The 27,425-nt window shown below is 36.6% G+C and overlaps 1 pseudogene across 1 annotated transcript, besides 4 other annotated features; it reads right to left on the reverse strand.

Annotated features, from left to right (window-relative positions):
* On the reverse strand, nt 1-25,630 carry SEC22B3P (SEC22 homolog B3, pseudogene; annotated as a pseudogene). Its single transcript, NR_158170.1, has 5 exons — nt 25,513-25,630; nt 18,143-18,252; nt 12,502-12,662; nt 9,671-9,817; nt 1-6,455 (listed from the first exon to the last, which is right to left on the reverse strand). The product of NR_158170.1 is annotated as an SEC22 homolog B3, pseudogene (transcript).
* Nucleotides 5,460-6,019: an enhancer, noted in NCBI's record as "NANOG-H3K4me1 hESC enhancer chr1:145116171-145116728 (GRCh37/hg19 assembly coordinates)". NCBI's record gives its function as "activates a minimal SCP1, AML or CMV promoter by ChIP-STARR-seq in primed H9 embryonic stem cells {active_cell/tissue: H9 hESC(primed)}" and the evidence as "EXISTENCE:reporter gene assay evidence [ECO:0000049][PMID:30033119]".
* Nucleotides 6,020-6,578: an enhancer, noted in NCBI's record as "OCT4-NANOG-H3K4me1 hESC enhancer chr1:145115612-145116170 (GRCh37/hg19 assembly coordinates)". NCBI's record gives its function as "activates a minimal SCP1, AML or CMV promoter by ChIP-STARR-seq in naive and primed H9 embryonic stem cells {active_cell/tissue: H9 hESC(naive and primed)}" and the evidence as "EXISTENCE:reporter gene assay evidence [ECO:0000049][PMID:30033119]".
* Nucleotides 9,730-10,541: an enhancer, noted in NCBI's record as "H3K4me1 hESC enhancer chr1:145111649-145112460 (GRCh37/hg19 assembly coordinates)". NCBI's record gives its function as "activates a minimal SCP1, AML or CMV promoter by ChIP-STARR-seq in primed H9 embryonic stem cells {active_cell/tissue: H9 hESC(primed)}" and the evidence as "EXISTENCE:reporter gene assay evidence [ECO:0000049][PMID:30033119]".
* Nucleotides 13,308-13,474: a silencer, noted in NCBI's record as "fragment chr1:145108701-145108867 (GRCh37/hg19 assembly coordinates)". NCBI's record gives its function as "represses an EF-1alpha promoter that drives an FKBP-Casp9 reporter gene in an ReSE screen in HepG2 liver carcinoma cells {active_cell/tissue: HepG2}" and the evidence as "EXISTENCE:reporter gene assay evidence [ECO:0000049][PMID:32094911]".
* Nucleotides 25,631-27,425: the final 1,795 nt, after the last annotated feature.

Genomic DNA, 27,425 nt, shown 5'->3' on the forward strand with positions numbered 1-27,425 from the left:
TAACTTATTAAAAAGAGTTTTATTTAGCACTTGGTTCTGTTGGCTGGGAAATTCAGGATCAGGCAGCTGTATCTGGTGGGTTCTCATGACTGCCTCATGCTGCATCAAAACATCGTAGAGAAACAGAAGGGGACCGAGTTTGTGCAAACAAAAAGCGCAAAATAGAAGAGGCAGCACTGTTTTATAACAACTCACTCTCTTGGGAACTAACCATTCCCAGGAGAACCCAGTCTCAGTGTCAAGAGAAAGATGTTAATCCATCTTAGCAACCTAATTACCTCTTAAAAGCAGCATCTCCCAACACTATTACATTGGCAATTGAACTACAACGTGAGTTTTGGAGGGGCCAAACAACATCCAAACCATAGCAGCAGGTTTAAAGGTAAAAGGATGGGAGAAAAGTACACAGAAAGATATTCTGGAGAAAAGGCACAGAGTGAGCCAAGGCACAAGGTAAAATGTTTGACTGGTTAGAGACGCTAGATTATTTTGTGTGGCTAAGACAAAACAAAGCTGGTGGGGAGTGGCAGGAGGTAAGTCTAGAATGGCACAATGGGGCCAGACTGCGAATGGCAAACTGAAGTATGTGATCTTTTATTCTAAAGAAAATGTAGTATGATTAGCACAAAAAAAAGAAAAATTATTGGCCGGGCGCAGTGGCCCATGCCTGTAATCCCAGCACTTTGGGAGGCCGAGGAGGGTGGATCATGAGGTCAGGAGTTCAAGACGGTGAAACTCCATCTCTACTAAAAACACAAAAATTAGCCAGGAGCTGTGGCAGGTGCCTGTAATCCCAGCTACTCAGTAGGCTGAGGCAGGAGAATCACTTGAACCCGGGAGGTGGAGGTTGCAGTGAGCTGAGATCGCGCCACTGCACTCTAGCCTGGGCGACAGAGCAAGACTAAAAATAAAAATGAAAAAATTATTATCCATGGTATTATCATGGTAGTACTGACTAAAAGAGGGACACGTGTAACAAAATCAGTAAGGAGGGTACTCCAAGAATCCATGTTAAAGTTAATGAGGGCTCGAACCCAAACATAAAGGATGGAAATGATGTAATAAAATACCTTTTGAAAGTTATATTTAAAAATTTTTGGTGAATAGTCTAGTTAGAGGTGAAAGAAGAAAGCAGAGGAGTCTAATGCAATGCGTGACTTGTAGCTCAGGTAAAGGGGTGGCAGGTGACGCTTAAATACTAGAAATATAAGAAGCAGCACAGGTTTGGTTTTATCTGTGAGAACAATGGAGTGGAGGTATGCTTTAGATGCAATTATTTATGGGATATTCAAAACAGATATCTATGAAGCAAAAAACTTGGGCCCAAAAAACAAGTTTGAAGGTATATTTGGGAGTTACCAGTAATATAGGTAACTGTTGAAGCTCTAAATATAGAAGACAAACTAGAGGAGCTTGTTTCTTGAAGAATTCTTGTCACACTTGACATTTTTTACAGAGATTTCTTAAAACAGGGGCATATCTTCTTTGGCTAACATATGCAGACTAAAATGAAAGAGTATAGTATATTATAAAATCAATAAAAGGTAAGATAAATTGAGGCCTAAAAATAAAGAATAAATACACTCAGTTGATTCTGAAGCTCTAATTTACAGATGCAAAATTGTACCAGTACATTAACTCATATGTCAAAACAACATCTAGAGAAACAAAAAATGAAAGTAAAATGGAAAAAGATAAAAGAAGAGAGGCAAGGAGAAGAGAATGGGCAAAAGGAGATAGGAAAAACAGGAATTTTTTTTTAAAGGGCTAAAATTTTAGTGAATCAGATGTGGAAAACAGTTGGATTAACATTGAGATCAAATGAGAAAGGAGCAAATAAGGAAAGATGTATTACAAACCAAGAGTAAAAAAGGGAAAACAAAATAACAAAAGCAAAAACTATTTAAAAAGAATAAAGGAAGACGTGATAATGAAGTAAATTTAAAAAGTACGGAATAATAAAAAGAAATTGCAAAAAATACCTTTTGAAAATAAACATACTAATAACTTGACAATAAAGTGAAATGTGTAAGACAAACATATCTGTGTCATTATTTAGGAGTAGTGAAAAGTACTCTTAAATAATAATTTGGTATCTAGCAGGCCTGGATTTGAATCTACTTTAACTTGCTAGCTATGTGACCTTGGGCAAGCAAAGAAACTCCTCATAACCATTGTAATAATACCACCAAAATGCCTTACACTTACGGCTCAAAAAATGAAGGAAATGAGAGAAAAAAGTATAGATTACTATATGGAAGTCAAATTTCTAGTGACTTTTCTAATCCAAACATGAATTGTTACAGTACTTGAAATAAACTTTATGAGAACTGAGTGACTACATTGCTTCAGATAGTTTTATACTGCTAGGTCAACGCTGCCTGACAGTAATAAGAACAGGATGTGGGATTCAATATGCTCATTCTATCTCAAACTCTGTCACACATACAATGACTGCTATTTACCTTCCTCCTGAGCCATCTGGGAAAAAACCAACCAACCAAACAAACAAACAAAAGAAAAACCCACCAGGTAGGAGTCAGTTAGTTCTGCTAACTAACTAACCAAAAACCTTAATTGTATGGCCACCAGCACCCTAGCCCTTTGTCATGAAAGCTACCAATAAGGTGGAAATTTAAAATATGAAATATTTCATTATACATGTTTTATTAAACCCTACATGTGCAGAAATGATTGTCCATTTTCCTTCTTAACTTGCTTTTGTAAGACTTATTAAGTAGAAAATATAAATCTCAAGCTCCTTAAATGTGATTTTGAGGAACTGAGACCAAAACAATTTTTTGCTGTGGAACCAGATCCTTGAATGCACTACAGGAAAATATTATTTGATATGAAATTTTTTTGGTACACACAATTTTTCAAAAATATATCTCTCTCCACAAAGTTAATTCAAATTGTAGAATTCTTCCAAGTCACAAATGGAGTTTTCAAGGCTCTGGGTACTTACCTTTGAGTTCCACATCCTTTATCTCTGGAGCTCTTAACTGAGGGAACATGGACCATTAGGTCATGAACAGACTTTGTAGTCTTTGAACAGCCTGAAACAGTATGTGATACTTGATGTGCATGTACACAGGAACATTTTTCTAGAGTAATGGCACATACCTTTCATCAGATTTTCAAAGGTTTCTCAAAATGCTCAAGAACCACTGTTAGATATTTAAATAACCAGAGTGTACAGTGTCCAAATATTTCCAAATTTTGACACTTGTAAGATGTCTTAATTAAAACAAGCCATGAAGTTCAGCGTCACAATAACCAGAAAAGCACTTGTGAGAGTAGTTCTATGTCTTTACTTCCTAGTGGTTTACACACTCTTTAACCCATATGGCAATCTGGCTTCTGTCTCCGGTGCTCTGGAATTACTTCTGCCTGTATGATTAAGTTCCTCATTGTTAAATTCGAAAATACATTCTTTGGTATTTATTTGACCTCTTGGTGGTAATATAGTGTAAGAGCACAGACTCTGGAGCCAAACTGCCTAGGTTCAAATCTTAGCTCTATTACTTTCTAACTCTGTGACTTTGGGCAAATGACTTAACTCTCTCATGCCTCAAAGCAGAATCCTTTGTAAGGTTTATTTATATAGTGGTGTAAAGAGTACTTACTTCAAAAGCTTTGGTCAGTGTGAGAAATAAGCTCCTAACAAAGAAAGTGTTATGTAATAGTTATTATCTGGTACCTCTGATCACATCATTTTTGAAAATCACTTGAAATCTGCCTAAGTTTCATTCTGCCTTTGATGGCTCCTTATTTTCATCTCCCTACTTCAGGCTTCCTCCCTAATATATCTTTTATGCCAATATTATGATCACTTGAAACTATAAATCTGATGCCATCCTTGGCCACTACCATTAAGATGGTCTAAACTCCTCAGCATGATAGACAAGTCCCTTTATGATAGTGTACCCATCTAGTTCTCATTCCTCAAGTCTCCTCTGTTGTCTATGCTTACCCTATGGGCTAAGCTGAATCAAGCTGTTACATTTCCAAAACATGCCTCACTGTCTTTATTCATGCCTTTGCACATGCCATTGACTCTTCCTAGAATGCCCCATTCTCCTTCTCTAGAAAGTCTTCTCTTAACATACTTCTTCCCAAAATAAATTAGGTGTCCTTTCTTAATATGCCTCCAATAACCCCATACAGTATTTATCCCATTCTATTTTAGATGCCAGTTTGGTTGATGATACATTTCATCTAGTCAGATCTTCCCACTGCCTCTTATAAAGAAAACCAGGAGCCATATTATGATATTCTTGTTCTCTAATTTTTCTGCTGCCCTGATCTTAAACCACTTTCTTCTCCCTTTGTTGACAATTACCCCACCCCTTATTTCTTAATTAGCTCAACAAGATTAGATAGAAATGTATCTACAAAGGATATATGTATATAAATTAACTAGATAACAAAACTTCACACTGAAGTGAACATTCTACAAGTATTTCTTTCATTGCTGACCATTAGGTTGCAGCATGCAACTCTCAACAATGAGCTGCCCCTCTCCACTCCTATAGAAGCTCCAAATACTATGGTACCACTATGTAGGTTTTCAGCCTTTCAAAGGCTTTTATTATGAACTTCATCATTACTTCAGCAGGAGCCTTTTAGGGACTTAAAAGCACTGATTATCTATAAAAAGTAACTTCATATTTCATGCACAAAATTCCCAATTGGCAGATTTAGGTCCATAAAAGAAAGGAAAAAAATTATTCTAGCTATATAAATTATCAGGAATAAAATAGCATTTCTCCTTGCCTTGTTATAAGGAAATAATATATTTTTCCTTACCAGGAATCAGGATAGTATCTTTGATGATCCCTCAGGGTTATAAAATTGCTTACTGGTTAAAGTTTTTTGCCAAAGATATTAAGAAATAAAAAGTTCGCTCATTTTCCTGTGCAATTTAAAGAAATATTTGCAGTATGTACAGGAATTTTAAGTTATATTGCAGACCCTGGCAATAATATTTAAAAGGCCTATTTTCCCCATTAAAAAATTTACCCCATTAAAAAAGGTAAAAGGAAATCTCCATCATCCCTGAGCAGAAAAGGAAAAAATCATGGGTACTTTAATTAGTTAATAGAAACCACTGTAAATGAGTTATCTATCTCCAGAACATTCTCAGAGAATTTACACGAACTAAAACAGGAATGAAGTGCTCTCAGAGACTTTTTCTCAGGTAAATGTATTTAGTAGTTTGAGTAGTTGATCTGCAGAAACTTTAACTTTAATTAACTACATAGATGAATATTTTTTATTTTGAAATTTGAGAATGTCCTAAGAGGATGTCTACAGGATATGAAACTACTGGGTGCAGGAAAATTTTTTAAGTGTTAGCAAATTGTGGCAAGAGGAAAACAAACAGCGGAGAAAACTGTGGTAGAGAAAGTAAAGAAGGGGCAGGAGAAAGCTGTAATTATAACCTGGGCCTGCCTTTGTTCTCATGAAGCCAGGGGCCTCTCCATATCCTATACTTGCTCTTACACTAATAACAAACCAAATGCTGCAAAATAAAAGTAATAATGACCCAAACTAATTTAAGTCTTTTGTTTAAGGAGTAAATGAGAGAAACATTTTAGCTTCTTAATCAAGGAGTGCTATAATTTCAAGGCATCTTAATATAATTCACTTACCCTAAAGCAATTGTGCAATAAGCAAATTATAAAAGGAAAACAACAAAGGTTAACTTTCTACAGGGGCCAATAGACAAGATCTGTGGAGCACAGCAATTAACCTTCACATACTGGAGTCTTGTTTAAAAGGCCATCAAAAACTCAGATTACTGAAAATCACAAATGTCACCAACAAAAGGAATGTTGATTAGAGTCAAAAAAAAACAAAAAAACAAAAAAACAAAAAAAAAAAAACACCTTCCCAAAGGACTGCCTTCTTTGAAGGAATTTCAGAATGTTGCTAGCACAGGTTGACTAAGTTAAATCTCATTGATGGCTCCATCAGAGAATGAGAATGCCCAGCCAGTGCTGTTTTTAAAATGCACTGGGAGGGAAAAAACGAAATAACAATCTACTATTCCCTAATATATATGGCTTGGCACCCAGAGAAAGCCTCTGCCCCCGAAAGAGACTTTCTACATAGGGTTAAGCTTCATTAAATGAGGTGCAACCTTTCATTTTCAGGACATCTCTTTTCTTGCAAGGTCTTTAGAGGCAGAAGTTCCACTTGGATTCTAATACACATCTCTGTGAGCTCAGTTTCCTGAAAATATACACCTACTGGGTTCTAGGTTCTCCCTTACCAGTGACTGTATTCATTATTTCACAGCCACCAGAATCGGACATACACTATTAACATGATGAAAAATACAGCTACTGCTGCAAGTTTGGCATAAGTGGAATGCATGTTCAAGTACTTCGCATCCTGGCGGTATTTCTTGGACAGACTGGACAAATTGTTAGCCTTTGAATCCAATGCTGTCAAAGAGGAAAAAAGGAAAACATTAATTAGTCCCTGGAAGTATTTTACCGAAAGTATTAAGGCATTAAAAATAACCAAAATGAGCAGCACTGCAACAACCATGAATCTTAAATCATCATTTTTATTTTGAGGCTAACATTGCATATACTAATTAACTGATGATGCTGATCAGATTATGTCTGAATTTTTGAGGCTATATAGTAAGGTGGTTAGAAGTGCAGGTTCTGGCCTCAGACTCTTTGGTTCAGATATCACCTGTACAAGTTATGTGACATTGGTCAAGTCATGTAACCTATTTAAAACCTAGTTTCTTCATCTATAATTGGGGATAATAACAGTAACTATGTCATAAAGTTGTATGTACATGAGATTGCCTGTAAAGTGAGCAACAATGCCTGCACATGATAAATTATAATAATTATTACATGTTAATAATTATTATCTTCATAATCTTCTAATGGTCTGAATCATATTCTCTTATATTTTGAAAAACGATAATGATAATCCATGTAAAACAAACTCAGATAACCAGAAAATTCAATTAACCAAACACAGTCTTAAGCTATACTTCAATGATGACTGCTAACATTTCTAAGATTCTCCACATAGTAGAGACTACTACGAAGTTAAAGCTATCAGGATTTATATTTCAATAGACATAGGAAAGTTGTAACTAAAATACAATAAGTACTACAAAAAAAAACGCAAGTAAATTAAGCTTTTTAGTATTTTCTGGCAAGTTTTTTCACCCCCAAGGACATTTGTAATGTTGTTATCTTCTTATAACAGTTAACTAAACACTTAGAGAAATAGCCAGATAGACACAAGCTAGACCATATTAAAATATAGGGCATATTTTAATAATAAACACAAACTCTCCATTTGACATAATAAATTCTGATCAAACTTTTCACTTCTTGAAATTTCAGAAAAAACTATTTTGCAATCCGGCTGTTTCTTCCTTAAAGAATGCTTTTGGAATATTTGGAGTTGCTTAATAGAGACTGGTTTTGATTGGGAAACATGGCGTTACTTAATAACACAGGCATGACAGCCACGTCTGAATTAGCAACTGATCACATGAGTAAGAAAAACATCTAGTGACGGAAGAAGAGTCAGGGACTGAGAAATAACCATGACAATGCACAGGGCATCTTTTTACAGAGCCTACAAGAATATACACTTCACTGGACAGGGATTTTAAATTATTGTGTTTGCTGCTATATCCTGAATGCCCAGAACAGGGCCTGGTATATAGTTAGTGCTCAATAAACATTTGCTAAATGAATCTAAATCTGCTGAGAATAACTCAGCAGAGGAACAATTATTAGACCCTATGAAACAAGTCATAGTTGAGAGAATTTATATATGAACGTTTTGAAATACAGGATAACATAAAGACAAAGCTATTGCTTGGAGAAGTCATTTAACAAATATTTATGTGACAGGCACCATGTGAAGTGCTGAGGATACAACAGTGATCAAAATATACATGATCCCTGCCTTTAAGGAATTTAGAGTCTTGCATGAGTGATACAAGAAAAATTCCTGTGCTAGTCTACTTTATCCCATATAGGAATTGCAAGTCTGTATGACAAAACCTTACACACTCACTCACTCAAAATTTGGTATTTAAAGAGTGTGAAGGTAAATGAATAACTGCTCACTACTCAAAAAAAGGTTAAAGTTTGTAGTTCATAATAAAAGAAAACTCACTTACTAATGAATATATAGCATGGCTGAATTCAAAAATACTTATTAAGGAACCTATTTGTGACCATTTCTGTGGGGGATATATAAGGAGTATGTGAAACAGATATAAAATACATAAGCACTATCTTTAAAGAGCTTACATGTCCACATTAAACACTTAGGTAATATTGAAATATCAGGTAAATATACATATACTTTTAACCTAATTTTACCTAATTACCTACACTTTTAAAATTATATAAAGGGCTGGGTGTTGTGGCTCATGCCTGTAATCCCAGCACTTTGGGAAGCTGAAGTGAGTGGATTGCTTGAGCCCTGGAGTTTGTGACCAGCCGGAACAACATGGCAAAACCCCATCTCTACTAAGAAAATACAAAAATTAGCCAGGCGTGGTGGCACATGCCTGTAGCCCCAGCTACTCAGGAGGATAAGGTGGGAAGATCGCTTGAACCCAGGAGATGGAGGTTGCAGTGAGCCAAGATCGTGCCATTGCGCTCCAGCCTGGGCAACAGAACAAGACTCTGTCTCAAAAAAATATATGAAATTATATAAAAATATTTAATTATCCAAATATGTTTGCCTACTTTAATATAAATATATGAAACATATACTTATGTTATATGGAAATATATTTAATATATATTAAATATATATTTAATATGGTAAGAGGTATTTAATAAATATATTTAAGGTAAATTAGGTAAACACACATACATGTAATATGTGCTAAAACCATTATGTTACTAAGTGCTTTAGGAGTTTAAAGGACAGAAGAGATTAATGTGATACAGGCTATAAGGATCAGAGAAAGGTTCTTTAAAGAGACAGTTCTTATGGAGGTCTTACATACAGAACAGGTCCAGCATAAGGCAGTATTCTGTTCTAAGGACCACTAAGGATAGTAAAGAAGCTGGTGTGGCTACAGAAGAATGTTTGTGAACTAGAGAATGACAGACATTTGCATCTTCCTTATTTTCCATATGTAGAGCACAACGCCTTACAAATAACAAGCTCTCAATAACAATGGCTGACTGACGGAAAAATAAGTCAGACTGGATCTTATCTTGTAGTCCCAGATTTAAAAGTTTTTCAGAGAGGAATGCTTTGATGAAAATGGCATTTTATAAAGATTGATCTGGCAGCAGTAAAGTCTCCCAAAGAGGCTACTCAAAAAACCACTGCAATACATTGTTGAGTTTTCTCTCATTCATTTCCCTTAATTTATACAAGTTATATAATTTAATTAATTTTGTGAATATCTTAGAAATAATCATTGCTTCTAATATGGATGAGTCCTTTACACTGTTCCAACTCAACAAAAACTAATCATGCTAGGAAAAAAAATATATTGGAAGCATTGTAATGTAATGTACTTCTGGGAGATAAATTCTTAACAGTTCTAGGTAGAATCTAATAGCATAAAAGGCACTGCAAAATAAGCTATCCTTGTCTATGGAATGAGAACCATTTCTTCATAAGACTCATTGCTTTTAGATACCTGAGAGTGCTTCTCCTCGTTGTAACACTTCTTCGATATTGGCCACCATGATCCTCTGCACATCTTGCAATTCAGTGTTGATGGAGCCTAGGTTTCTTCGAGCACAACTGTCAATGTAGAGCTTCTTGGTTTTCTGAATGAAAGTATCTAGAATGATGAAGAAAACTGACCATTTCTTTCATGGCCATCAAAGTACTGAGGTAGGAAATTAAAAGTTCTGAGTTGGCCAGGCACGGTGGCTCACACCTGTAATCCCAGCACTTTGGGAGGCCAAGGCAGGTGAATCATGAGGTCAGGAAATCGAGACCATCCTGGCTAACACAGTGAAACCCCGTCTCTACTAAAAATATAAAAAGTTAGCCAGGCGTGGCGGCACACGCCTATAATCCCAGCTACTCAGGAGGCTGAGCCAGGAGAATCACTTGAACTTGGGAGGCAGAGGTTGCACTGAGCTGAGATCACACCACCACACTTTAGCCTGGGTGACAGAGCAAGACTCTGTCTCAAAAACAAAAACAAAAAAACCAAAACAGTTCTGTCTTTATTCCTGGATTTGCCACTGTCCATGGTTAACCAAACTCTTGGTTGAATATCAAAATCTAGGCTTTGATTATTTCATTTGTAAGATGTAAAGGTATAATTAGACGACCATTCAGGAGAAATGTCCTTTGAATACCTTTAAATTAGAAGTATTTGCTATCTAAGGCTGCTATCAGAATCCTTAGAGAAATTAAGACCCACTATAGTAAGCCTTTCCTGAAAACAGAAATTTTCAAACAGTATTCTGAGGACCCTTAGGCTAAGTGTTACTTACCTCTACACATTCCTTAAAAGGATGCTGGTAACACTCTAGCATTATTACAGCCTAACATGGCAAAAGGGCTCATGATCATTAAAAAGCTGAGAAACTTTACCTTATTTTCTCTAATATACATTCCCAGTTTCATTCCATTCTTAAACCTCAGGTAAAGCAAGTATGTAATAGGGAGTTTTCCAAAATACCAATATAAAACTGAACTGAAGTCTCGGCCAGGTACTGTGTCTCACACGTATAAATCCCAGCATTTTGGGAGGCCAAGATGGGTGGATCACTTGAGGCCAGGAATTCGAGACCAGCCTGGCCAACAAGGCAAAACTCCCATCTCTACCAAAATTACCGAAATTAGCTAGCTGGTCATGGCAGCGTGCACCTCTAGTCCCAGCTATTCAGGAGGCTGAGGCACAAGAATCACTTGAACCTAGGAGGCAGAGGTTGCAGTTAGCCAAAATCATGCCACTGCACCCCAGCCTGGGCAATAGAGCGAGACTCTGTCTCTAAGTAAATAAATAAATAAATAAATAAAAACTGAAGTCTCATCCATCTTTTGCTCATATCAGTATTTCTCAAAACTATAGGAAGAACGACTTATTATTAAAGATATTTTCAACATTTGGCAAAAATCTTAATTTAAGTGTGCTGTACCCCTTTCATTTGCCTCTTTAGATCTCCTCTCTGCCCTCCTGCACCTTGCTTTCTGCACTGGGAAGCTGACTTGGATGAAGCGCCTCAATAGACTCCTTGCTCTGTGCCAGTTAGGTTCAGGCAATGAAGAAGCCCCAACAGTAGGGAAGAAGGAGAACAGACAGTGAGTGATGTCCGGGTATTTATTCCCCTGGCTTCTTTCAGAGAAGGAAATAACCTTCTTCTGGAAGTATCCCTCTACCAAAAGTTACGCTCCTCTCAAGTTGGCCTTCTCTAGAAATTTTCTCCTTTTCAGTTTCAGAAACTGCTCCTCCCCCTTATACATTCAGGCCTAGGGATGGTAACAACCAGTATGCTACTGGTCAGAGGTTACTGTACCTTGTAATTCTCCTACAGCCTAGTCATATCTTTGTATATAATCCCTTAAGCTAATTTGGGTGTGCCATCTGTTTCCTGTATGACCCTGATACATTTGTCTTCTTTTTGAGGGAGGTTTATGGGAGTATTACTGTCTATAAAAATAAAATTTGAAAAACTGGACATTATATAAAGCAGCACTTGGAGAGTATATAGTTATGAAACACTAGAGTGTTTTTCCAAAGCAAGATGACCCATTTATCTAGCAAACTTGAAACACTTCAAAAATTCTAAGCCAGTAAAACCAATTTCTCTTTTAACTAAAAATTGCAGCGATATAGCCTGATCCTACTTGTTCTCACTCCCTGTACTTACTGTACTTAGGACATTTCCTTTGATCCCTTACCATCAGATACTTTACCAGGTCTGATTAGTAATTGGTCTTTCTATAATTCTTGTACAAATACAGACACCTATGCTCACCATTCCTGAATGTAGTAAATATTATACCCCAATACCATGAGTACCAGGTATCTTCTATTTCTTTGTTCTGTTTTGTTTTTTTAATTAGAGGATCTTATTCTACTAAAAGAAACAAAACATCATTCTTTCTGATTTCCCAATTCTGATCTCCATAAAATGAGCCTTATTGTGAGTGTGAGTCTGTGGACTGGGGTAAAGAAGAACTCAGCCATTATATGCCAATCAAGTAGATCTTTAGCAAAGTTCCTGTCACATGTGACTCTAAAGAAGAATCAAACCAAATAACAGAAAGGGCAAAAGGCAACAATTTCTATGGAGGAAAGATCAAAAGACTAGAGAAAATTACTTTTCAGAACAAAGCCTTAGTCACTCAAAAAGACAAAAAGAAGTGGAATGGAAAAGGAAGCAGAAGCTAAAACTTCAGCAAGTAAACATCAGAAAAAATGTATAAATATTATATCAGTGTAACAAATAGCTTCTCCATATTGTTTGCTCCCTTGATAGAGAGAAGTGAGGGGCAAAAACTTACCAAATTCAATAAAGGAATAGGGTCGGGACACAGTGGGCACCTTCTTTCCATGCTGTTCATCAAATTCTGAGTGCAAATCTTCTAGGTAGGCAAAAGCCAACGTCTTAGGGAAGGCAGCTTCACATAAAACCAAATCACACACCCCCTGCTCAATAATGTAGCTGGTGAGACATAAAAAGCAAGACAAAGTTGTCTGTAAAGTAATAGCACTGACAACAGTTTAAAGCAGAATCTCTGTACCATGCAAACTTTTTTAAAAATCTAGCCTAAATACTTTGAGGCTGGCTAAACGAGAGTCAATTTAAAACCGCAAATCCTTGGAATCAGAAAGCAAACATCTTCCCATTATTAGATGTATATTCTTTTTTTTTTGTTTTTGGTTTTTTTTTTTCTTTTTTTTTGAGACGGAGTCTCGCTCTGCCCCCGGGCTGGAGTGCAGTGGCATTATCTCGGCTCACTGCAACCTCCGCCTCCCGGGTTCAAGCCATTCTCCTGCCTCAACCTCCCGAGCAGCTGGGACTACAGGCGTGCGCCACTATGCCCAGCTAATTTTTGTATTTTTAGTAGAGACGGGGTTTCACCACGTTAGTTGGCCAGGATGGTCTTGATATCTTGACCTCGTGATCCGCCCGCCTCAGCCTCCCAAAGTGCTGGGATTACAGGCGTGAGCCACTGCACCCAGCCTATTAGCCGTATATTCTAAAAGGAGTATTTAGACATATTTATTATAATTTTTCATCCATTAGATTCTCTTTTTTTTTTTTTTTTTTTGAGACAGGGCTCTTTCGATCACCCAGATTACCCAGGCTGGAATGCAGTGGCATGATCTCAGTTACAGCAATCTCCGCCTCCCAGGTTCAGGTGATTCTCACGCCTCAGCTTCACAAATAGCTGGGATTACAGACACCCACCACCACACCCAGCTAATTTTTGTATTTTTAGTAGAGATGGGGTTTCACCATTTTGGCCAGGCTGGTCTGAAACTCGTGACCTCAATCGATCCACCCAATTCAGTCTCCCAAAGTGCTGAGATTACAGGTGTAAGCCACTGGACCCAGCCCATTACACAATTCTTCAACTAACATTTTAAACTTTTATTTTAGCTTGAGGATGTATATGTGCGGGTTTGTTACCTGGGTATATTGCATAATGCCGAGGTTTGGGGTACAAACAATCCCGTCACCCAAGTACTAAGCATACTACCTAATAGTTTTTCAACCCCTGCCCCCTCCTTCCCTCCTCTTCTAGTAAGTCCTCAGTATATTTATGTCCATGAGTGCCCAATGTTTAGCTTATAAACTTATAAATGAGAATATACAGTATTTAGTTTTCTGTTCCTGCATTAATTCACTTAGGTAATGACTTCCAGCTCCATCCATGTTGCTGCAAAAGACATGATTTCATTTCTTTTTATGACTGCATAGTATTCCATACTGAATATATACTACGTTTTCTTTATCCAATCCACCACTAACATGTACCTAGTTGATATCTTTGCTATTGTGAATAGTGCTGCAATGAATATGCAAGTGCATGATTTTTGGTAGAAAGATTTGTTTCCTTTTGGATATAAACCCATTAATGGGTTTGCTGGGTCTAATGGTAGTTCTGTTTTAAGTTCTTTGAAAAATCTCTAAACTGCTTTCCACAGTGGCTGAATTTACATTCCCACGAACAGTGTATAAGCAATTCCTTTTTCTCCACAGCCTCATCAGCATCTGTTGTTTTCTGACTTTTTAATAATAGCCCTGTGACTGTTGTGAGATGGTATCTTATTGTGGTTTTGATTTGCATTTCTCCAATAATTAGTGATGTGCATTTTTTCATTAGTTTGCTAGCCTCTAGTATGTTTTGAGAAATATCTGCTCATGTCTTTTGTCCATTTTTTAAATGGGGTTATTTGTTTTTTGCTTAATACTTAAGACTTTTTCCTGAAAAATTCAGAGTTGTGACTCCATCCACCCTTTGATTCTATATGGTAAACTAGCATACACATATTTAAACTCTTTCCAGCCACAAAGGAAAACACTGTAACTGGAAATTTCTGTGGATAGAAATGTAAGGTTAATGACATAATGTTTACTGGGTACAAGACTAATAAGACTCCTTAATTTACAGTCCAGGAGGACTCTGTAATCAACTGGAAACTTTTCAACAATGGAACTGACTTTCTTTTGTGATGATGAGCGCCCATGCACTCTGGAAGGGGCTATATGATTACACATCTGAGAAATTCTTAGAAAAATGTTAGGCTACTAAGTGGTTTTCCAACTTCTTTTTAGCCATAGTATACACACACACACATGCAAATATATATATTTATATATGGAATATGTATATATAACAAGCAAAACTTATATTCAGAAGGCCAATGTATATATCAGATAAAATCAGAGGTTCTTTAGTTTAAGTAGGAGTTTGCAAATATTTTCTCCCATTGTGCAAGTTGTCTCTTCACTGTGTTGTTTCCTTTGCTGTGCAGAAGCTTTTAGTTTAATACAGTCCCATTTGTCTACTTTCTTTTCTGTTGCCTATGCTTTGAAGTCTTTTCCATAAAGTCTTCGCCCAGGTTCATGTCCTGAAGCATTTCCCCTATGTTTTCTTCTAGTAGTTTTATAGTTTAGGGTCTTATGCTTAAGTCTTTAATCTACTTTAAGTTGATTTTTGTATATGATGAGATAGGGATCTAGTTTCATTCATCTGATGAGGAACTAATATCCAGAACATACGAGGAACTCAAACAACTCAACAGCAAAACCAAAAATAATTCAATTAAAAAGTAGGCAAGGAACAGAATTGACATTTCTCAAAAGACATGCGAATGGCCAAGTATATGAAAAAATGCTCAACATCACTAATCTTCAGGTAAATGCAAATAAAAACCACAACGACATATTATTTCACCCCAGTTAAAATGTCTATTAAAAAGACAAAAGTCAATAAATGCTGTTGAGGATGAAGAGAAAAGAGAACTTTTATACACTATGGAAAACAGTATGGAGGTTTCTCAAAAAACTAAAAACAGAACTACCATACAATCTAGCAATCCCACTGCTGGGTATTTCTCCAAAGGAAAAAAACTCATTATGTTAAAAACTTATCTGTACCCCCATGTTTACGGCAGCACCATTCATAATATCTATGGATAGATAATCAAGAGAAATGTCCATCAAGAGAATAATGGATTTTAAAAGTGTTTTTTACACACACACACACACACACACACACACCATGGAATACTATTCAGCCATAAAAAAGAATGAATTTCTATCATTAGCAGCAACATGGATAAATCTGGAGGACATTACGTTAAATAAAATCAGTCATGCACAGAAAGATAAATATGGCATGTTCTCATTCATATGTAGGAGCCAAAAAAAATTTTTGAGCTCATGGAAGTAGAGAGTAGAATTGTGGGTATTAGAAGTAGGGAAAGGTAGAGAGAAGGGGAGGATGGGCAGAGGCAAGTTAATGGATAAAAAATTACAACTGGATAGGAAGAATGAGTTCTGGTGTTCTGCAGAACTGTAGGGTAAATATGGCTAGCTATAACTTACCACGTATTTTCAAAAAGCTACAAGATTTTGAATGTTCACAACACAAAGAAATGATAAATGTTTGAGGTGATGAATATGCTAATTACTCTGATTTGATTACACATTGTATACATGTATTGAAATATCACTCTGTATCCCATAAATATGTATAATTATTACATGTCAACTGAAAATAAAAGGAAAAAATTTAAAACATAAGGAGGAGTTTAGGGGCCCAAAGCATTATATATACTCCCATCCTTGCCCTTTCTATGTGGCTCCTGAGGCATCCTAGGGCTCCATAAAGGATAAAGACTATTATATGATCTCTCAGGTCCCTTAAAATAATATTAATAATACAGCTGTCTTATTCCTTGCTTGGGCACCTGAGTTAACTGGTCTCTTTGCTTTTAGTCTACACCATCTTCTATACCATCAGTTTTATTCCCAGAGACTACAGATGACCATATTACCCTGCTTACAAACTCTAAGGGTTCCCTAATACCTACAAAATAAAATCATACTCCATGGTATTATATTTACAGCCTTTCAAAACAAGTGTAAGCAACATTCTATCATATATTTTAATAAACCAAATGGCGGACTGTTTTCCAACATGCTAGGTTCTTTACATATTTGTGGACTTCTGCTTATATTGTTTTTTCTAACCATTAATGCTCTTTTAAATACCTGGAGAAATCCTGTTCATTTCCATATGTTCAATTCTACCATAATTTTTTCTGTGAAACTTCTTTAAATATACTCCCCTCCTCTGTCCCGTTTCTTCAAACTTACCCCCTACAAATGGGAATTTGTTCCTTCCTTCTCTCTGTTCCCAAAACATTTCATTTAAATCTAATTTACAACATCTTTTCAATGAAGATATTATAGTATACTTGTTTGAGTATATGTCTCTCTCTGTACTAAGAGAACAGTGTTAAAAGGTATGGACATTAAATGCAGGACTCAATATAAGGTCCGGCAAAGAATAAACCCTTAATAGCTCTTGGATGGAAATAAAGGATGATATGAGATTATGAATGTCCTAAAGGAATCAGGCAGAAGAAAATCTCTTCTCAGTTCCATGAGAACTTTCCTAGGTCTTGGTTCTCTAAACCATGGTGAAAATGAGGATACTAGATATTAAGTGAGTGACTATTTTTGGTGTTGAAAATTAGAGTTCTAGAAAATATTTCAGATATTATAAAAATTAATACATCATAAAACATAATGTCCAACATTTTCTTAGCCAATTGCCTAGGGTTTTATTTTTGTTTTGATGTACTTTTTACTTGTCTTTTATAGGTAGAGAATTTTTGTTTTGTTTTTTAAAAGTAAACATAGCAGCTTCCTCCCTGGCCTAAGTTATCTTACTATCTAAGTCCCTAAAATAGCAAAGATTATTTAACTAATCCGTTTTTATTTTCCTCTGATGCTCTTGTACTCTTTTCCTTTTTAATCCTTCCCATTTTGTCAGCTTCAAACTTGGCATGTATTAAACATTAAATACCAATTATTTGTAGATAATTTAAAATCCAATAATGTTCCTTTGAGTCCTCTATCAGCTGTATCGTTTATAACCACTGATTAAGATGCTCTTATCTTTTATAATTTTCTTTTTTCAAAATAATAATAACTAATAATTATTGACCCTTCCCATGTGTGTCAGACAAGATGCTAAGTAATACACACGGATTCCCTCACAATCCTCTCAAACCTCCTATGTTTATTTTCACTACTTTATAGAGGAAACTGAGGCTTAGAGAAGTTATGTGAGCTGCTCAAAGTTACACTGTTAGGAAATGTTTGAGCAAGGGTACTAACCTACACATATCTGGCTCCAAGACAGTCCTAAAGCAAGAAGTTATCTATTATTGCATGATGGGCACAGCATAGACACATGTTAACAGGTTAAATTACTGTAAGCATGCTGAAAAAACCAACAAGATGTCCATTTTGTAGAATTAGAGCCAGAGAAGTTGCTCCTCCCAAAAGACAACATTTTTAAGTAATCTTTACTTTTTAAAAATTATTATTTTTTATCAGGCATTCTGTTACTGTATTTCACACTTAAATGATCATAAAGAAATCAAGATTACACTCACTGAAAAGTCATGGCTCCTGCTTCCAAGGTACATCTGGTAGGGGACTGTTCATTCAACTTTCGAAAGAGTTACTTAGCCTGACTCTGATACTGTTGAAGGTCCCGGCCAGACTGAAAGAAGACATCTTCATTTAAGAATTTTCCACAAAATGCTGTATCAATTAGTGAGAAGCACCATATTATGAGGACACTCTGAATGAGGTCCTTCATTTACAGGTAAGTAAGATTCATTTTAACGGAGGAAAGACAACCTACTTTCAGAGTACAGAGGAAGACCTAACCCCTACTTCTTCAAGATGATCGCATTAGTTATTTGCTAAGAAGCAAAAGCATATACCTCAAATACACTTAAGCACTCCTAACTTTCAATCCAGTCTTCTTTCCACTATTAGGACAGTACTCTCCTCCTAACCCATTTCATTTGCAGTTATTGGCACAGAACTACACAGCATGTGCTATACTCAGGGGAATATCCTAGGAACAAGATTGGTGAATTTCATTTTTATGTTGGAATATCCAGCAGAACCTTCCACAAGTGTTACAGTTTTTAGCATTTAAACAAAACTAAATGTGTGTACTAGTGACTGCAAATTATTATGAACACTTTGACTGCAATTACATAAAAATGACCAAGGGTAGAGACAAAGATTAGCATGTCAGATACCCTTTACTGAAGAAATCTATTTGGTTCCCAAGTTTGGACAGCAAAAGTTTGAATATCGAGGGATATATGCAGACAAAAATGAAAATAATAGCATTCACATGTTATAATTACAGGTAATATTTTCCTGAACAATTTCTAACTGCTTTTACAATTATTTTTGTTAAAAAGAGGGGGCAAATCTACTGGAAAAACCAGCAGTGTCATTTCAAAAGAAGAAAACCATGCATCTCCAATCTACTAGATCCAACAGGGAAAGGAAGTGCCTGAAGAATGGGAAGCAAATAGACATTGTTTTTCCATCCACATGTGGGGTAGGGGAGCTTTCTGCCAGCTACCCAGCTATAGTCTGAATGTTTGCTGGTATCCCCCACAAAATTCATGTTGAAATCCTAACCCCCCAAAGTGATGGTATTAAGAAGTGGGACCTTTGGGAGGTGATTAAGTCATGAGGGTAGAGCCCTCATGAATGCGACTAGTACCTTTATAAAAGAGACCCCAGAGGGCTAGCTTGCTCCATCCACCATGTGAGGAAACAGCCAGAAGGTGACATCTATGAACCAGGAATAGGCCCTCAATAGTCACCAAATCTGCTGGTGCTTGATCTTCACCTTGCAGAACTAGAAAAATCAATTTCTGTCATTTATAAGCCACCCAATTTATGGTATTTTGTATAGTAACCCAGACTAGGACACTGCCATGTGATGCAAAGAAATAATCCTATTTTGGAATTATTTATTTTACATAGAAAGAATAGCCTCCCTTTGGCAGATGTTTAATAACTAAATATTTAAGTAGAAAAGTATTTATGCTAGGGTCTCCCAGGATCTGAGGTCTAACTTTGATAAAGTACAAAGTGATATCTTAAAATTGTAGATAGTGTACTGCTAAGCTGATAATAAAAACAAGGAAGCAACAATAAAATGATAAAGTGGCAGATCAGCAAATGTACAATTACAGGATAATAAGATTCTAAGCTATATGTAAAAATGGTGAACTGGAAATTTCAGTATGAATAAGAAGGTGAATAAGCATGAGGTGAACCAGGGGAGATAGGCAGAGTCCAGTCGAGGTATTAGTTTGTAGATTTATCTTGTTTAATACCACTGTTATGGCAATTATTTGTTTTATTGACATATATTTGTTATATATTTGAGAAATAGTTCTATATTAACATATGTATGTCTGTATGTATGTACAGTTTTATATATTAAACAGTACTTTATAATAATTATATCAAAATTATCATATTAAACAGTACTACTAATATATGGCCAGCCAGTAAGAGTGAATACTGTCATATGCTTTTAGCCAATAAGAACTAGTGCCCAATATTCTATTTTCCTAAATTTGAATGGTACTTACCAATCTTTTTGTTTCCCCAGTGCCATTCTGAAGAGATCTGAACCCACAAGAGTAGATAAAAAGCATGCAAATAATGTTGGGAATGCTACTCAAGTGCCAAGAAAGAATATCAACATAGATCGGTGATTTTCAACCTTGGCTTCACAATAGAATCATTTGGGGAAATCTCAAAAACAAAACTACTTATGCCCAGTCTCCACCACCAAACCAATTAAGTCAGCATCTTGGAGGTGGGGCTGTGACATCGGTATTTTTTACATAACTGCAACCACAGGTGTTAAATATATGTTCTTTGCTAAAGGCAGGTGAGAATCTTAAAAGGACTAGTTGAAGAAACATGGAAAAAATTGCCACTCAGATTGGTACAAATCCTTTGACTTTACAAGAGGCACTGTAAACATTACTGTAACCTGAGAAAAAGACTAACAACTGTATCAACTATAAGAAACTGGCCAAAAGCATTCTGCAATTTCAGGAATTTGCAAACAGCAATGTAAAGACTGCCAATATACAACACTGGGGATGTATTTATAGGGATTATGGTATGCCAACCAACACCTTACCATGCTGGTTCAGTTAGCATTACCATCCTTGAGAACACAATGCTAGCACAATCTTCATGGTTAAATAATAATCTTTCTGGCATATTCATACAATGGAATACTATGCAGCCATTAAAACAATGCTGTATAGAGTTTAATGATATGAGAAAATATTCATTAAACACTGTTAAGTGGAAAAAATTAGGTGAAACAGTCTTACGGTATTACCTATTATTTAATGTTATACACACATACATATGTTTAAGGTCATCCACCAAAATGGATATAATTTGAGTACAGATTATAGTTAATAAACACTGTTAACATTTTGGTCATTTTGCTTTTATGTATTTACTGAACTTTCTATAATACGCACAAATTAATTTTGTAATGTGAAAAATCATTCATTCATTACATATTTGCATCCAGTGTATCGATTATGTGCAGTTCTGATCTGTGAACCTTTAAGAAAGGCAAGATGAGGCTGGGTATGGGGGTTCACGCCTGTAATCCCAGTACTTTGCGAGGCCAAGGCAGGTGGATCATGAGGTCAGGAGTTCAAGATCAGACTGGCCAAGATGCTGAAACCCCATCTCAACTAAAAATACAAAAATTAGCCGGGTAGGGTTGCAGGTGCCTGTAATCCCAGCTACTCGGGAGGCTGAAGCAGGAGAATCGTTTGAACCTGGGGACCGGAGGTTGCAGTAAGCTGAGATCACACCACTGCACTCTAGCCTGGGCAACAGAGTGAGACTCCATCTCAAAAAAAAAAAAAAAAGAAAGGCAAGATGGAATTAGAAAAGATTCTTCAGAAATGATCAAATGAAATTATTAAGTGTTCACTTTCTGCCAGCCACTGTTCTGAACACTTTACATTATTTAACTCGTTTATTCTTCATGAGGTGATTAGAATTATTATGTCAATTTTTTACTTGAGAAGTCAAACTTTTTAGCCTCTAAGCTAAAAAGGGAGGAACTAGGATCTGAATGCAGGCAATCTGGCCCTGGAGCCCCTACTCCTAAGCATTATGCTACCCTAACTCTATAATTGAAATTGTTTCAATAGTAGATCCACCTTTTAGGTGAAGTCTTACTATGTAATTCTAACTCATTGGAAATGCTCAAGAAACCATGGGGCAGCTCTGATCTAGATCTCACAAAACAACCTAACCACTGTTTTACATACTGACCTTTAGTTTGCTTTCAAGATCAAAGTCACAAAGGGCCCACAGTTAGCCAGTCCACCTAAAAATATTTAGATATCCTCATTGTGTTTTCTACTTCATCTAGAAAAGATTAATGAAATTTGTATATGATATAATTATGAGATATCTATTAGTAATCCAATAATGCAGTGGATCAGAATAACTGGAAAAACTGTGAAACAAATTTGAGGTTATCCAACAGCAAATGTAGGATTTGGATCTATATATTACAAAAGATAGAAGGTAGTAACTTGACACACAACCGCAATACTTTTCGTTGCTGTCACCTAAGACTGCTGAACAACTAGTTGTATCAATAACAACTTTTGCCTTCATAGCTCTTATCATTTTCATAGCTGAGTTCAGTGGGTATCAATACCCACTGAACTCAGCTGGTCAAAGACCAGCAGCACCAAGAACCAACCACTTTCCTCTAAAAGCAGTTACAGTAAGTGGATTAATCAACCCTCAGTGATTGGGAGCGTGAGACAATTTAACTGTATAACATGTTATCTATCTGCTTTCTTGGAGCTTCCTGCTGCCTATTTGGTGAGATCTAACACTTTCTTCAAGTCTGGACTGCCCTTCACGATGCCAGAGGAAAATGAAAGAAAATACAATAATTTTGAGGCAGAACAGAAAGGTAGATAAAGAAATTGCAAAAATCCTAAAAGGAGAAACATGCCATAAAAGGAATGAGGAAAAAAGATAAACAGGGTATCAGTTAGGGAGTCCACATTTGAGAAGAAAAGCTCATCTCTCTTCCTGCCCTAAGTCTAAATTTTCAGTTAAACACAGAGGAAACACCCTGTATAAAATACTCTGTCTACATTATTTTGTAAATTTTACTCTCTATTGTATTATCTGAATAACTGTCCATCTTCGGTAATATGGCAGCTTGTACAGGCACCTAGTAAATACCTAAAATATGATATCTATTATCAGTGTAAATACTGAAAGTACACTGATAAGAAAACAAAAACATACAAAAATGAAAATACATTGAATTATCTGGCCTGGACAATTAAGGTGATTAAATATAAAACTGTTTGGTTGAGATATCTGTTTATTAAAAAGTTATTCCTGGACTCCTAAGAGGTAAGACATCATTAAAAGGCCTTAGAACAAGGCAGTAAAGTACAGTGGTTAGGCACTAAAGTACAGTGGTTATTAAGTTTTTGTCTGAGTCGACAAAAACTTAATAAAAACCACTGGGTCTCAATTGGGGTGATTTTGCCCCCATGAGACATTTAGCAATGTCTAGAAATATTTTTGTCGTCATACAAACAAACAAAGTGGGGAAGGGTAGTGGTACTACTGGCATCTAGAGGGTAGAGGCCAGGAATATTGCTGGACCTCCTACACAATATACAGAACAGTCCCCAAGAACAAATAATTATCCATCCCCAAATGTCAACAGTGCCAAGGGGAAAAACCCTGATGAAAAATTTCATTATGCCACTTATTAGCTGTGAATTTAGGCAAGTGATCTATCCTCTCTAAGCCTCAGAGCTTCCTTATCTATTATTGGAGATTTTAATAGTACCTGTTCTAATATGGTAGTATGAGGATTAAATAAAAAAATGAATTTAATAGGCTTAGCACAGTGTTTGGTATGTAGTAGGTGCTTTTATAAATGTTCTGTATACTATTAAAATAGTAAAAGTAAGCCTAAGATTCAGATCTTTACAGACATTAAAAGTTTAGGCAAACTTTATTATTCAAAGTCAAAATTCCTAAAGGAAAATACTATGGCACTACAATCACAAAAATATTTGTGTGTAAAATTTCTTTCCTTGTCAATTAAACAAAGCATCCCATCTTGATAAACCAATATGAAATCAATACCAAATTTATAATTAAAAAACAATAAATCAATTAATTTTTCAATAAAGTATCATGGCAGAGAGTAGGGGCCACTAATATTAAGTAGACTTTCAAGTTCACTTTGTATTCTTTGCTAACACTGGAATTCAATGCAATAATTTAAAAATTGACCAGATTCCATCCCCCCTACCCCCAACACACAGCCACCCACTGTAGGAAAACTATTTTTTAGTCAAACTACACATCCTTCAAGGATATTCCCCTGCACTATCTACTTTGTTCAAATCATATTCCTAGGTTCATTTGAACAATTACACTCCTTCTGCAGGATGGTCCTAGAGTATTCCTGAAAAACATTTCACATTAGCAAATCGGGGTATGTTAAATTGTTCACGGTTTATTTCAAAGATTAGACTTTGTTTTTATGTAATGAATAGAATATATTTCACTTAGCATGACCTGCAACTTTATTATCTGTATCACCACTCTCCTAAAAGTGAAAGTAACTATATTTCCAAATCAAACCTAAAAAGGCATATAACCAAATAGAATAATAGTTCCTTACTACTGGATCCTACTGTTACCTTAGTGTCATACCTTCCGGGAAGACTTTCCTGATTTCCTAAAACCAACTTAGATATATTTTCCATGTTCAAGCACAAAACCCTCTTCCTTCTCCTTAGCAGTTAAACTACATTTTAATAGTTTGTTGGTTATCTGATTTTTCCACTAGACTGTAAGCTCCACAAAGGTAGAGACTGTGTACTCTAACTCCCTGCATTAACACTATGCCTGGCACATTTGATGTGCTCAGTAAAAATTTTTTGCATTAATATATGAATGAAAAGTCCAACAGAAGAAATGTGCAAACTATTTTTTCAATATCTCATCTTTTTTTAAGGCTCAAGGTTTTACTTAGACTGTATGGAAAAGTAAAATAAAATTGATCACTTTAAACAAATTATATAAATTCCATTCTCAGCTTTGTCTTCAGAACCTCCCAAGCTTGCTCCAGAAACTTGTCTTACTTCAGAAATTTCCACTGCGTTTCTAAAACACAAAACAGCTTTCTTTTAAGACATCTGGAATTAGTGCTGTTTTTAATCAATTCAGTATACTTTTGAGCACCTACCAGCATAAAGCAGCTATCGTAAAAGGTATGGATAACAAAGAGATGATTAAGACCCGTCGTTTGCCCGCTAGGAAACTCAAGTTATTGAAAGACAAAGAAAAAAATAAGTTACAATGTATTGCAGGAATGTGGTACGGCGTATTGGAGAAGGTGGGAACTGGGGATAATCCTGAAAGAATGTGATGTACTGAACTTTTAACAGGTGCCACTGTATCTGGACCAATATCTATCGATCTGGACTGCATGCATCAGTATGGCTGTACCAGCTATTAAAATACTGGAACATTTCTTACAGATTAGTAAAAAAGCTATTGCCCTGAGCATCCCCTTCTTGAGCCCCTTCTACCCCAACAACATGCAAACGCTTAAGATTCCTGCTCCCCACAGTTCTGCCAGATTCCATTGTCTTTGGCGGTTTTCCATGTTAGTCATTTTGAAAAGCTTCGCCTCCAGGCATGGCCATTAGCTACCCCCAGGGAATTAGAACGACCCCCGCCTTCCGCCCTGGCGCCTGCCCTCCGGCCACGCCTCCGGTGGGCTGCAGGGCGTAGGCCCTGGTGGGGGTTGGGAAGCAGCGCCCCAGGCAGGTTTACTGACACCATCTGCACTGGTGATTAAACACGAGTTATTTTGAATTACCATCCCTGATTAAACCTCCTCACAGTGCGAGCTGCGTGAAGGCAGGACTTTTCTTTATTCTTGAATTTTCACAGCCCTTAGCTGTGTCCTCCGCACAGTGCATCCAGTCAGAGAAGTGAAAGTGAAGGGTTAGAGGGGAAGGGGGAATGAGCCGGAAAGAACAAGGTGCGCTTTGGAAGTCCCGTGAAAGCCTCTGTTTAAAATAATTACGACTTTGGCCGGGCGCAGTGGCTCACGCCTGTAATCCCTGCACTCCGGAAGGCCGAGGCGGGTGGATCACTTGAGGTCAGGAGTTCGAGACCAGCCTGGCCAAAATGACGAAACCCCGTCTCTACTAAAAATACAAAAATTAACCAGGTGTGGTGGCGGGCGCCTGTAATCCTAGACACTAGGGAGGCTGAGGCAGTAGAATTGCTAGAACCCAGGGGGCGGAGGTTGCTGTGAGACGAGATTGCGCGCCACTGCACCCTAACCTGGGTGACAGAGCAAGACTCCGTCTCAAAAAAAAAAAAAATTATGACTTTAAATAGCCTATTTCAAATATCAAGCCACAGCAAAGCTATCTCTTGCCTTCTAGAGGAAGCTATTTCATGAAACTGTAATACTTCTTCCAACATGTCTGTCTGGTTTCCCTACTTTGTCAGGAAAGCCTAGCAGAGAGCAGGCCCAGCTGGTTCACGCCTTGGGGCTTGGGATGTGTGGGGTGAGTAGGATAATTGGGTGTAGAAAGTAAAAAGTTTCCTCTTCAGAGTTTCCCTTCTTGTTAAAGAATAAATCATAAGTGTTAGAAATAATAGTTTCTTTTAAAGACTAACTTCCTTCAATCCTCCTTGCTTTGTGCTATTAACTCTCTGTTAAGCCCTATCCTATGTAGCTATTAGACATAAAGGAATAAGTACATTCTATGTCCTTGTACTTTAACCAAAATATTTGTGCTGGAGGTGCTCACGGGCATGTCTCAGCTCACAGCCTATGCCCCTTCCTTATTCAGGAATATTATTACTTTTCTAAGTCCTTTCATAAGCAACTTCCTCTTTTCCTTTGTCTTTCCATTGCTTTTACCTATTTAGAAAAGTTTTAAATTATTAGCCAGTCAGGTTTTAGTTTAGATTGTGCAGTCTGGCTCCAGCCAACGGAGACAGGACACAGCAGCAAGGACAAGCTGCGTAAGGGATAAAAATTTCTTCCCTCCATTGTTCAGGTGTGCTCTCGCCATTGTTCCATCTGCGAGGAGCACTCTTTCTGCAGAAAGTAAAATTATCTTGCTGAGAAAACTTTTTGTCTGAATGCTAATTTTTCCTTGCAGTACCGATTAACAAGCATTCTGTTTCTAAATAAACATTTTACATATAAAATTGGGGTAGTTTTGATAGCACCTAAAATATTGTATGGAACTTAATTTTTTTAAAAAACATATTTCTTCTACTACTAATCTCCAAACTCTTTCAGGACAGAAAAACTAGTTAGTTATTCCCAAGGGTCTAGTATCCTGTACCTGGAACCTAGCAAATGCTCAATTACTGTTTATGGACTAAATGACTGAATGAATGGCATGTCTCATGGGTTGAGATGATACTCATTGGTTGTATACAGCACGATTCACAGTTGGTATTGTACTTAGTGAAAACATGTCCAACCCCCATTTCTTTCATTCTTCCAATTAGTTATTCAACAAATATTTATTGTTCAACTACTATGGGCTAGGAATATCAGGCACTGAATTATACAGAGGTTAACAAAAGGAACATGATATATGTTACTGGAAATGGGTCCCTATCCAGACCCCAAGAGAGGGTTCTTGAATCTCCTGCAAGAAAGAACTGGGGGCAAGTCCATACAGTAAAGTGAAAGCAAGTTTACTAGAGAAGTAAAGAAACAAAAGAATGGCTACTCCATAGACAAAGCAGCACCAA

Source organism: Homo sapiens, chromosome 1, assembly GCF_000001405.40.
Source record: "Homo sapiens chromosome 1, GRCh38.p14 Primary Assembly".
In the NCBI taxonomy this organism is placed as follows: domain Eukaryota; kingdom Metazoa; phylum Chordata; class Mammalia; order Primates; family Hominidae; genus Homo; species Homo sapiens.